The sequence below is a fragment of the Homo sapiens genome, chromosome 1, assembly GCF_000001405.40.
Source record: "Homo sapiens chromosome 1, GRCh38.p14 Primary Assembly".
Taxonomy (NCBI): Eukaryota; Metazoa; Chordata; class Mammalia; order Primates; family Hominidae; genus Homo; species Homo sapiens.
In genome coordinates this window covers 94,555,306-94,568,813 of record NC_000001.11, presented here as the reverse complement: position 1 = coordinate 94,568,813, position 13,508 = coordinate 94,555,306, and the positions used below count along the sequence as shown (strand labels likewise).

The 13,508-nt window shown below is 41.7% G+C and overlaps 1 long non-coding RNA gene across 1 annotated transcript in view; it reads right to left on the bottom strand.

Annotated features, from left to right (window-relative positions):
• The window catches only part of LOC105378861 (uncharacterized), a 73,963-nt gene extending 68,252 nt beyond the window's left edge, over positions 1–5,711 (bottom strand). The window contains exon 1 of the long non-coding RNA XR_001738160.3: positions 5,201–5,711. This is a non-coding gene — a long non-coding RNA (uncharacterized LOC105378861). The remainder of the gene's footprint in view (positions 1–5,200) is intronic.
• Positions 5,712–13,508: the final 7,797 nt, after the last annotated feature.

The window sequence follows — 13,508 nt, the reverse complement described above, 5'->3', positions numbered from 1 at the left end:
GGCTTCTTCAGCTATACTCACTCTTTGTTGAGTCTTCCACAATTACCATTGTTCCTGGCCTGGACTTCAATCCAGCCTCCCACATTATTCCTGATACCACACCTGACCCCCGTGACTGTATCTCTCTGATCCACCTGACATTCACTCCATTTCCCCATATTCTTTCCTCTTCCTCACCCTGATCACACTTGGTTTATTGACGGCAGTTCCACCAGGCCTAATTGCCACTCACCAGCAAAGGCAGGCTATGCTATAGTATCTTCCACATGTATGATTGAGGCTACCGCTCTGCCCCCTTCCACTACCTCTCAGCAAGCTGAACTCATTGCCTTAACTTGGGCCCTCACTCTTGCAAAGGGACTACATGTCAATATTTATACTAACTCTAAATATGCCTTCCATATCCTGCACCACCATGCTGTTATATGGGCTGAAAGGGGTTTCCTCACTACTCAAGGGTCCTCCATCATTAATCCCTCTTTAATAAAAATGCTTCTCAAAGCTGCTTTACTTCCAAAGGAAGCTGGAGTCATTCACTGCAAAGGCCATCAAAAGGCATCAGATCCATGGCTCAGGACAAAGCTTCTGCTGATAAAGTAGCTAAAAAAGCAGCTATCAAAAGGTGTCAGATCCCACCACTCAGGACAATGCTTATGCTGATAAGGTAGCTAAAAAAGCAGCTAGCATTCCAACTTCTATCCCTCACGGCAGTTTTTCTTCTTCTCACCTGGCCACTCCCACCTACTCCCCAACTAAAACTTCCACCTATCAATCTCTTCCCACACAAGGCAAATAGTTCTTAGACCAAGGAAAATATCTCCTTCCAGCCTCACAGGCCCATTCTATTCTGTCATCATTTCGTAACATCTTCCATGTAGGTTACAAGCCTCTAGCCCACCTCTTAGAACCTCTCATTTCCTTTCCATTGTGGGAATCTATCCTCAAGGAAATCACTTCTCAGTGTTCCATCTGCTATTCTACTACCCCTCAGGGATTGTTCAGGCCGCCTCCATTTCCTACACATCAAGCTCAGAGATTTGCCCCCTCTCAGGACTGGCAAATTGACTTTACTCACATGCCCTGAGTCAGGAAACTAAAATACCTCTTGGTCTAGGTAGACACTTTCACTGGATGAGTACAGGCGTTTCCCACAGGGTCTGAGAAGGCCACCGTGGTCATTTCTTCCCCTCTGTCAGACATAATTCTTAGGTTTGGCCTTCCCACCTCTATACAGTCCGATAACAGACCGGCTTTTATTAGTCAAATCACCGAAGCAGTTTCTCAGGCTCTTGGTATTCAGTGAACAAATGGTCTTTTAAAAAAAGCACCTCACCAAGCTCAGCCACCAACTTAAAAAGGACTGGACAATACTTTTACCACTTTCCCTTCTCAGAATTCGGGCCTGTCCTTGGAATGCTACAGGATACAGCCCATCTGAGCTCCTGTATAGACACACCTTTTTATTAGGCCCCAGTCTCATCCGAGACACCAGCCCAACTTGAACTGCACCCCAAAAACTTGGATAGAGCCTAAAAAGTCACCAACCAAGCAAGTAATTACACTGAACCCCTTGGGCATTCTCTAATTGGATGTCCTGGGTCCTCCCAATTCTTAGTCCTTTAATACCTGTTTTTCTCCTTCTCTTAATTCGGACTTTGTGTCTTCCGTTTAGTTTCTCAATTCATCCAAAACCATATCCAGGTCATCACCAATCATTCTATATGACAAATGCTCTTTCTAACAACTCCACAATATCACCCCTTACCACAAAATCCTCCTTCAACTTAACCTCTCCCACTCTAGTTTCCCACGCTGCCCCTAATCCTGCTTGAAGCAGCCCTGAGAAACATCGCCCATTATCTCTCCATGCCACCCAAAAAAATTTTCACCACCCCAACACTTTACCACTATTTCATTTTATTTTTCTTATTAATATAAGAAGACATGAATGTCAGGCCTCTGAGCCCAAGCTAAGCCATCATATCCCCTGTGCCCTGCACATACACATCCAGATGGCCTGAAGCAACTGAAGAATCACAAAAGAAGTGAAAATGGCCTGTTTCTGCCTTAACTGATGATATTATCTTGTGAAATTCCTTCTCCTGGCTCATCCTGCCTCAAAAGCTCCCCCACTGAACACCTTGTGACTCCTGGCCCTGCCCGACAAAGAACAACCCCCTTTGACTAATCTTCCTTTACCCGCCCAAATCCTATAAAACGGCCCCACCCCTATCTCCCTTCGCTGACTGTTTTCAGACTCAGCCCGCCTGCACCCAGGTGAAATAAACAGCCTTGTTGCTCACACAAAGCCTGTTTGGTGGTCTCTTCACACAGACCTGACTGAAAACTAGCAAATATGTCATACAGAAAATAAATACTAAATGAAGTCCTTCAGACTGAAATGGAAGGACACTGGACAGTAACTCAAATCTACATAAAGAAATAGAGTGTACTGGTAAAGATAAGTACATAGTAAATATGAAAGATGGTATTTTATGGTTGTAAGTCCTTTTCCTTCTATCTGATTTAAAAGACAACTGCATAAAACAATAATTAAAATCTATGTGATGGGCATATAATATATAAGATGTAATTTGCATGGCAATAACAGCACAAAAGAGAGTGAGGGAATTACACTCCAGAGAAGCAAAGCTTTTACGTACTATTGAAATCAGGGCATTATTAATCCAAACTAGATTGTTATAAGTTAAGATGTTAATTGTACTCCCCAAGGAAACCCTGAAGGCAGTAGTTTAAAAGAATCTGTGGTACGGATGGCTTAGTTAAATCTAGCAAAGCCTCACTAGTAAAACCAATATGCATTAGTAAAATATCTGAAGAAGGAAAATTATTCATTGAGGATGTAATTTTTATTAATTTCCTGACATACAGTAATTGGAAGGGCAAATAAGATATTCTTTTATTCACTTTAGATTAATTGAGGGCCTGCTATGTTTCAGACACTGATGCTGCAAAATAGAGGCTTAGCTGAATCTGTCCTAATGAAGAGCTTTTCTCATGGACCTGTAATTCCTACCAAGCTCCCTATTTCTGTTATTTTAATTTCCTAATGACCCAAGGTCTCCCTTGACCATTTCTCTTATTAACCATATTTATATCTAATCTAATTTGTGTATCAATTAGTTCAACAAATATGTGTTGAGCTCCTGTTATATGCCATTCATTGAAAATAGAGTAGCAAACAAGGTAGAATGAGTTTTTGCCCTCCTGGCTTCAGGGAGCTTACATGTAATGTGTAATATAATGCAGTGTAAACAATGTAATGGCAGGAGGTGAATGCGCCTGGAAGAAAAGCAAAATCAGGGCATGGGTGGGGAGGATGCTTTTAAGATAAGGTGGTCAGGAAAAAAAATTTTTTAATAAGGTGACACATGAGGAGAGATCTAAATAAAATGCAAAGATCTGGGGGGAAAGGGTCCAAGAAGCCCCATGAGCAGGATGGGGCTAGGCCTGCCTTAGGATTCATAAGAAGGCCAGTGTGAGTGCAGTTTCTTCTTTCAACTTATGTCTTGAATTCAACCTCCCTTTTCATGCTTCCTACCACAACTCATATCCTTACTTATATCACTCACATCTAAGTTACTATAGGTATCTTCTAAATGTTTCTCTTACCCCAATTCTGTGTCTCCCCATTCATTGGCTGTCTCCCCATCCAATCATTCTGACAAACCTCATTGCCAGGATGATTTTTCCAAAGCAATTCTGTCATATCATTTGCAATCGAGAAGTTCCAATGACTCCCTATTGCTGTGAGCCCCTCGGTGACTCCGTAGACATCTCCATTTCCTACCATGTCTCAGTCACATTTCTAGCATGTGAACAAAGACCAGGTCCCTGCTCTCACAGAGCTTATGTTCTTGAGGGGTAAGATAGACAATAAACAAGTAAAAAGGAAATATCTAGATAATTGCAGATAATGGTAAGTGCCAAGAAGAAACCAGATAGATAAATAGTGATGGAGGAGGTAACCTGAAGTGTTATGAGGTGATCTGGAAAATCTGGGGCCATAATCTATTCTAGGAGAGGGAACAGCAGGTGCCAAGGCCCTAAGGTGGAAATCATATCATTTGGCAAGTCTTCCCCAGCGTACCAGGGAAGCAAGCTGCTTCTCTTCTGAGTGACTAAATCACGGTGTCCGTGCTTCTATTTGAGTGATTGTCAAAATTGTCAAGTTTGTCTCTCTCTGATAGACTGAGTTTATTGACTATAGAACCCTATTTAATTCATGTCATCTGGAGTACTATAAGTCATTGATAAAAATTTGTGGAACTGAATTGAATGAAGCTTGATGTCCTAATCTGGCAGGTAGAGTCATCCATTAATTGACCTCTAATCTAACATTAGCTCACACTCCTGGATCTAGTTAAGCCAACATCCTCACTGCTCTTGTCCTCTCTGGATAAAGCTTGGCAAAGTTTACAAACTTTGATAAATCAGTATTACATGAATGTAACATTCTAGAACACAAAATATTATTTGCCCAGTTAGAATAAAGGACCTTTCAAGAATTAACCTGTTTTAACTCCTAGATTGCATTAGTCAACTGCCTCTTTCAAAATAATTTAGACTTTTGAAATTGATATTGACAGCAGTGATATCAATTTCACTGTTGATAATGATGATACTTTATCTTGATTTAGTCGCTTTTGTTTAGGGATATTTGTTGAAAGACTGTCACTAAATCATTCATTCAATTAATATTTTTAAGTACTTCATGGGCCAAGTATGGTACCTGTTCCTGAGTATATAAGGGTGAATAAAATAAACCTGTTCTGTTGCCTTTGTGGAGTTTCTAATCTTGTCAGGAACACAGGTAAGAAACAAGAAAACAAATGTATTGTTATAACTTACAATACATGCTATTAAAGACAAAAACGGTGTACAGGACAGAAAATAACAGGGAAGACCTTTGCCTAGGATGGTCAGGGAAAGCCTCTCTGAAGAAGTGACATTTGAGCCTGGACTCTGCCATGCAATAAAAACAAAACAACAACAACAACAACAACAAAAAGAAAATGGGTCACACAGCCTTTAATAAATTCTAAATAATTTGCATAATTCTGACATAGTTCGCAACGGCCATTATACTTTTCTATGTTCATATAAAAAAGATTTTTTAGCTTTATCTTACAACTAATCAGAATTCATGATACTTATATTATATATTTAGAATACTTACCAAGGAGATGCTCTGTTCTTTATCCTCCTGGAGCATGTTCTTTGTTATTCATTCAAGCTGGGTTGAATGACAGCATTTATAGTTGTGTCTCCTAATGACATTGATCCCACCAAGTGGTTCCAAGTATGCAGGCTTCTGTGGGCTCATATTGGTCCAGTCCCACAGCCACATATCATAAACCCTTTAGATGATGCAGATTATTCTGGTTAGAATGTGGTATCTGTGGAATATCTGGGAGATATTGGGATTAGAGTCTGGTGACAGCATCAGTTGCATTCCACCCCTGACCAGCACCTTCACAGCTTTGTGCTGCAGATCTTATAGGGAATTACAGGGAAGTGGAGGTTCATCAGGGCAAGTCCTTCAAACCTCACAGAGGTACTACAGGAGGGCACCTAGCGATTGTATTAATTGGTTCATTCTGAAGTGGCTGATCTTCTCAGAAGCAGGACAAACGTAACTCAGAAGCATGAGAGGCATGCAGCCACTGTTGATGGCTGTGCCTGATCTCAGAGGGCCCTGCCGAGAGCAGATGTTTACTTAGCCACTCCTCATGGCTGTGAGCACCCAACCTGGACAGGGAAATTAGTGTGAATTCCAATGCCCAAACACAAATGCCAGGGATCCTCCCTGAGTTTCTGAAGGGAATGTGTGCATACTATTAAAGAGAAGGACAACCGGATAGTCACAAGGAAGGCTGGACTTCCTTAACAGAGATTGTTTATCTAGTTTTAAGCAACTCGAGGTGCTGTAAGCAGGAGCCATGAGCAAAGCAACACGTGTAGGATTAGTTAGAACAGGGATCCCCCACCACTGGGCCATCAACTGATACCAGTCCATGGCCTGTTAGGAACTGGGCTACACAGTAGGAGGAGAGTGGTGGGCGAGCGAACAAAGCTTCTTCTGTGTTTACAGCCACTCCCCTTCAATTGCATTACTGCATGAGCTCCGACTCCTGTCAGATCAGCTGTCACATTAGAATCTCATGGAGTGCAAACTCTGTTGTGAACTGTGCACGTGCAGGATCTAGGTTGCCCGCTCCTTATGAGAGTCTAATGCCTGATGATCTGTCACTGTCTCCCGTCACCCCCAGGTGGGACTGGGGTCCCACTGATGCTACATTATGGTGAGTTGTATAATTATTTCATTATATATTATAATGTAATAATAATAGAAATAAAGTGCACAATAAACCCAATGCACTCGAATCATCCCGAAAAGATCGCCCCACCAACCCCAGTCTGTGGAAAAGTTGTCTCACATGAAACCAGTCCCTGGTGCCAAAAAGGTTGGGAACTGCTGTGTGAGATGACTATCGATTTACAATTCATCAAATAAAACAAAGCATGTCTGATCTGGCCTGCAAAAGGTGAGATAATGGCTGCACTAATAAGAAGTGCAATAAGGGGATCAGGAAGCGAGACACCAAGCAGAGCTGAATGACCTGGATGAATGCATGGCCATTGCGTTTCTGTTCAGGGGAGTATTTACCACTGGGAAAACAGTTGCTTGGTTTGAGAACTAAGCTCAAATAAGGACCTTAGATATAAATCTATTATTGTTGTGGGAACCCATAATACTCAGAAGCATCTCTCACCAAAATTGGATTCATTCCTTTATTCTTTCACTTACCAATATTTGTTGAGCACCTACTGTGTTCCAGATTCTATTGCTGGGTCCCCAGTGCCTCCGAATGAAACAGAGGAAGTCCCTCCTTTCATGGAGCTCACCTTGTGTGGTGTGGGGCTGAGGGAGGTAGAAAATAAACTAGCTAACAAACAAGTGCTATGAAAAGCAATAAAGTGGGTAAGAAGAGGATGAAACTATAGGGTCATGAGAAGGGGCCTTAAGAGAAGCCCTCTTTGAGGGCTATTTTATATAGAGTACTCCAGGAAGGCCTCTCTGAGGAATGACATTGTGCAGGAAGTTCAAGGTAAACCATGGGAAGATGTTGGGGAAAGAGCTCTAGCACAAGGGGAGAAGCGAATGGGGCACGAGTGTGCTTGGCACAGTCAAAGAGCAGCAACAATCCCATGTGGCTGAGATGAGTAAGTGGAGCAAGCGAGGGAGAGAATTGTAGGAAGTGAGACCAACGCTGTAGGCAGGGATCAGACTGTGTGGAGCCTTGTAAGCCATGGTAATGACTGGGATGTAAAGCCACGGAAAAGTTTTGAGCAGAGAAGTGATGGTATCTAACTTCAGCTTTATAGGGATCATCCTAATTGTGTATACAAAATATAGTGGAAGCAGGAATAGCCCAGGAAGGAGACTAGTGTGGCAGATGATTAGCACATTAACATGAGCTTTGCCATCCATACTGAGAACCTCAGGTCAAGTTGAGTTAATGATGAGTTCCTTGCGTTAGAATTCAAAAGTGCAGAAAGTCCGTGGTATACAAAAGGCTTAGGATTACACTCTTCTTTCTATATAGTAGCCACCCACTAGCTACCTGTGGCTACTGAGAACTTGAAGCACAGCTAGTTCTAATTGAGACGCTCTTTAAAAATGATACACTGGGCTGGGCGCGGTGGCTCACGCCTATAATCCCAGCACTTTGGGAGGCCGAGGCGGGTGGATCACGAGGTCAGGAGATCGAGACCATCCTGGCTAACACAGTGAAACCCCGTCTACTAAAAATACAAAACAAAATTAGTCAGGCGTGGTGACAGGCGTCTGTAGTCCCAGCTACTCGGGAGGCTGAGGCGGAAGAATGGCGTGAACTCGGGAGGTGGAGCTCGCAGTGAGCCGAGATCGCGCCACTGCACTCCAGCCTGAGTGACAGAGCAAGACTCCATCTCAAAAAAAAAAAAAAAAAAAAGATACATTGAATTTTGACTTAGTATCCCCTCCACAAAAAAGTAAAAACAAAAACCAGAATGTAAAATATCTCATTAATAATTTTTATACTGATTACATATTGAAATGATAATGCTTGGGATATATTGGGATCAGTAAAACAAGCTCAAAACTCATTTCACCTGTTTCTATTTTTTTAAATATGGCTACTAAAAAATTTAAGTCGCATATGTGGCTCACATATCTCTGTTGGACAGCACTGGTATTCCAAACTGAGTTATACAAAGAAATCCTTTGTTATTTCAAGACTTACTGAAAAAATTTCTAAAATGCATTGCTCATGTCCTGGTTTTAATAAACAAAGTGGTACAAAGCATAGCTAATATAATTGAGTTTCCTTTGATTAATGTAATGTGCTGAAAGTGTGAATGATTCTGCATCACCAAAGCTTTGTTCTAAACATTTCTCAGTGGCCCTGTTGTCTTGAAAATAGTAACAGCGGCTTTTCCATGCTGGCCCTGTCCTTGAAGGAGCCCCTGACCTGGGATCTTCTGCCCCACAGGTTAAGAGCATGGGCTTCATAAGTTTCCTGGCTGAAATCTTAGAGACACATTTCTCAAGAGTTGACATGAGAACAATGGCTTTCCAGAAAGACAGGCTTGTCTGTGTCATTCTGTCTGGCCTCTTGCTAATTCAGCTTTTCACCTCCCAAAGGTATCTATGTCATGGGTTGGGCCCCAAACCCAGGCAGGGCAATGAGAGCTACTGGGTGGAGAGCACAAGAGGCCAAGAGACTGTAAAGGTCAATGACCTCACACAAGACAGGCTGTGGTGTTTGGAATGGGCTGAGGAGCCCTCACAGAGATGCAGAGTAAATCTATCTTAGGTGGCATCTCTCTCAATCCCATAGTGACTTTCCCACTTCTCCTTACCCACAATAAGCAAGCTCTAGGGGGACAAGTTGAATGGTTCAAGTTCACTAAAGGTGGCCATACACACTCAAAAGGCAATTCACTAATTTCACTAATTTCTAGGAGGAAACAAATTGCCAGGGATCAGAGTGTTTGGATCGAAAAACAACTTCACTCATCTCTCTGCGGGAGAGGCTGCTTAGGAAAGCAAATCCATCCACATAAGGAGACTGCTTGTCAGGCAAAGGCGGTGGATGGGGAAGACAGAAAGGCATTCCAAACATTTCTTTTTTTTCTTTAAAATATTTTTATTGAAACATAATTGGCATATTTAAAGCGGACATTTAAGGGCACAATTATTTTTAATTTTTTTATTATACTTTAAGTTCTAGGGTACATGTGCACAACGTGCAGGTTTGTTACTTAGGTATACATGTGCCATGGTGGTTTGCTGCACCCATCAACTCATCATTTACATTAAGTATTTCTCCTAATGCTATCCCCCACCCAGCCCCCCTCCCCGCAACAGGCCCCAGTGTGTGATGTTCCCCACCCTGTGTCCAAGTGTTCTCATTGTTCACCCACCTATGAGTGAGAACATGCGGCGTTTGGTTTTCCGTCCTTGTGACAGTTTGCTCAGAATGATGGTTTCCAGCTTCATCCACGTCTCTACAAATGACATGAACTCATCCTTTTTTATGGCTGCATAGTATTCCGTGGTGTATATGTGCCACATTTTCTTTTATATATATATATATTTTTATAATTTCAACTTTTACTTTAGATTCAGGGGGCATATGTGCAGGTTTTTTTACATGAGTATATTGTGTGACACTGAGGTTTGACATCACAAAGGTAGTAAGCATAGTACCCAATAGGTAGTTTTTCAACCCTTATCCACTCCCTCTCTCCCCACTCTAATAGTCCCCAGAGTCTATGATTCCCATCTTTATGTTCATGTTTACCCAGTGTTTAGTTCCCGTTTATAAATGAGAACACGCAGTATTTGGTTTTCTGTTCCTGCATTTGTTCACTTGGGGTAATGGCCTCCGGCTGCATCCACGTTGTTGCAAAGGAAATAATTTTATTCTCCTTTATGGCTGTGTAGTATTCCATGGTGTATATGTACCTCATTTTCTTTATCCAATCCACCATTGATGAACACCTAGGTTGATTCCATGTATTTGCTATTGTGAATAGTGCTTCGATGAACATATGAGTGCATGTGTCTTTTTGATATAATGATTTATTTTCCTTTGAGTATATACTCATTCATGGGGTTACTGGACCTAATGATAGTTCTAAGTCCTTTGAGAAATCTCCAAACTGCTTTCCACAGTGGCTGAACTAATTTACATTCCCACCAGCAGTGTATAAGCATTCCCTTTTCTTCACAGCCTTGCTGCCCTTGTTATTTTTTTGACTTTTTAATAGCCATTTTGACTGGTGTGAGGTGATATCTATGACTTCTTTTTGAAAACACAGAAGTAGCCAACAAACATGAAAAAATGCTCAACATCATTTTGAATCTCTTCATTTTTTAATCCTGCTTACAAAGGCTAAGCAACATGTGTTTAATAAACAGGCAAGATTAATAAACCCAGAAAAGAACCAATTAAGGAAGCCAACTTTTTAGTAGAAACAAAGTTATTGTGTTCTTTAAAAGGCCTTAGATCTGGGTTACCTCTGAGCATATCTGGAAACAGATGGCAGCTGGCTTCGGGTATGGGTCATGAGCTGACCTTATATACTGTGTCGATGGTAAAGGAGCGAGCCAGCTCTCAGGAACCAAGTCTTAGAGTTACAGATGCTGGCTGTGGCCTTACTGCTCACTGGGTCTTCCTATAAGGCAGGTCTTTGTCTCTAAGGCAACCACCCTAATGTAAAGCCAGGTAGAAAGCCCTGGTGTCTACACCCTAATATAAAGCCCATTGACGGTAAAGCCTAAGGTGCCTCTGAACCTTGGGAGTTGCCTGGCACATCCGCCCCAAGTTCAATAGACAGGGAGTCTAACTGCCTGGGAGGAGCCACTCTGAACCTACAGCAGGGGGCCTCGAGGCTTTCTTTGAAAAATAAAAATAAAAATAAGAATACCAATCAACGTACAGAGCCCTCCAAAACATTGTAAAAAAGAACAAAAAGCCACTTGCAGAATACATTCTGTATAATCCCATTTATGGAATAAACAAAAATAGAATATCTGCAGAGGCCTCATATGTGTGTCTGTATGTACATAGAAAAAGATCTTGAAGGATAGATGTCAAATTCTTAACAGTCTTTTGGAGAGAAGAGTAGAACTTGGGGAGGAAGAAGGGGAGAGGTTCACTTTTTCTATATATTCTTTATTTACTGAAGATCATATAGTAACAATATATTTATTATTTTTAAAATTAAAATTAATTTAAATACACAGTATCATTGCCCATATAGCTATTGGGCCAATCTTGGGACTATTAAAACTTTGTATATTAGTATCCTATCTCACCTATCTCAGTTAACTAATTAAAGAGCTTTTATTTCCAGTAACAGATAGCATAAAAAACACTTTCGTATATGTTATTTAAATTTGACCAATACCCAAAAGAAAAGAGCAATATAGGACAGAATTCTTCTGCTAAAAAAATAAAATACAGATCCATATTTGCCAATTTATTTTAGTTACTGAACAGAGTAACATGATGTTATAAATAAATATTGAGGCCCGGCACGGTGGCTCACGCTTGTAATTCTCAGCACTTTGGGAGGCCAAGGGGGGCGGATCATGAGGTCAGGAGTTCAAGACCAGCCTGGCCAACATGGTGAAACCCTGTCTCTACTAAAAATAGAAAAATCAGCGGGGCTTGGTGGTACGTGCCTGTAATCCCAGCTACTCGGGAGACAGAGGCATGAGAATCACTTGAAGCCAGGAGGCAGAGGTTGCAGTGAGCTGAGATCATACCATTGTACTATAGCCTGGGCAACAAGAGGGAAACCCTGTCTTAAAAAATAAATTAAATAAATAAATAAATAAATATTGAGTACTTAATGAATAGGCCAGAAAATATTTGAAGATAGTAAACACATTTCATATGCAGTCTATTAGATGCTATTCTGATTTAGAATTGCTGAAATTTAATGGCTGTGCAAAGAGGAAAGAAGAAACAAGACTTTTTTGCAACAGTATTTTGAAAAAAAAGTTAGAATAAATTGTTTATAAATGCTACCAGTACATAGTTGAGCAGAATGTACTGGTAATACTTTGTTTTACAAAGCAAACATAACTCTGTTTTCTTGGGTTTCTTCATGACTTAGCAGAGAGCTAACAAGTGCCAGTCAAAGCCACACTTGCTACAACTAAGAAGCGACCACCAACTTCATACATACAGGATCATCTTAGACAGGCATCTATTACTAATAATTGCTGTTGTAATCTTCAGAGCTCCCTTTGAGGTGCCAGCACCCATCATCTGCAATCCTCACAATCCTTCAAAACAGGCTTTCTTCTCCTCATTTGAAAAATGATATTAAAAAAAAAGACTTAAATAATTTAAGAAACTTTCCCAACCTTACACAGCTTGGGAGATCCAAAGCTGGGACTCCAAAGTAGGCACGTCTGGCTCTGATGACAACTCCCTTCCCACTGAACCTCACCAACCCAGACCTGCAGCCCTGAGTCATCTGCCAGGTTCCTTGGGACAGCTACACTGGATCTAGCTTTGGGTTCTCACTGGTGTCCAAAGCACACTGGACAAATGGCTTTAGCAGAGGTGGAAGGCGGCCTGACGTTGAGTGAGTGACAAGTCAGGTACCCCAGCTGTCTCCAGGCTTGGAAGGCAAGCAAAACCATTGCCAAATTAGTGCTCTTTCTTTTCAACCAGCAATCTTTCAAATGGTTGCTCCAAAAGAAATAGAAATTAAAAATATTTTTCAGCATGCAGTGAATATTTGGATGAATGCCAATTAATGAAATATATACTTACTTTTAACTTAGCCATTCGAAGATTTCAGAGATTTTCCACAGATAACTGATTATCAGGGTATCTGGTGAGGGCACCCATTCCAGTCAGAAGGAAAGTGAGGGGCTCACATGAAGTCAGCAGTGGTATTTTTGGGCTGTGCCATTAGAGTCTTATCAGATATCAGAAGCCACTCCAGGTTTCTCACACAGAGTGGATTTGTTACAGGGAATTGGTTACAAACGTCATGGAAGAGCTGAGAAACCAGAAAGGGCACAGGAGGCAGTCTCAAGAAGAACAAGAGCTGACATCTGCTACCATCCCCAGGGACAGGGGGCAACAGGAAGAAGTGGTGCTACCAGATCCCAGGTGTAGGGCTGCCCAGCTGGGTCCAAGATGGAGGCACAGCCAGCAATGGACACGCTGACCAGCACAGAGTCTGAGGGTGGGGAGAAATGCCCTGGCTTTTCCCTTTCTCTTGCCCTCCAGGCTTCTGACTGTTCCTCCCAATGACTGAACTTACCTGAGGCTGGAGGGAAAAGGAGCCTGGGAGGTGGACTTCCCTGACATATAGGGCTGGACAGAGAAAGGCCATTTACGAATCTAAGGGCATACAGGTGAATAACTGGCACTATGCTGAAATCAACAATGTAGTGGAGAATCGGT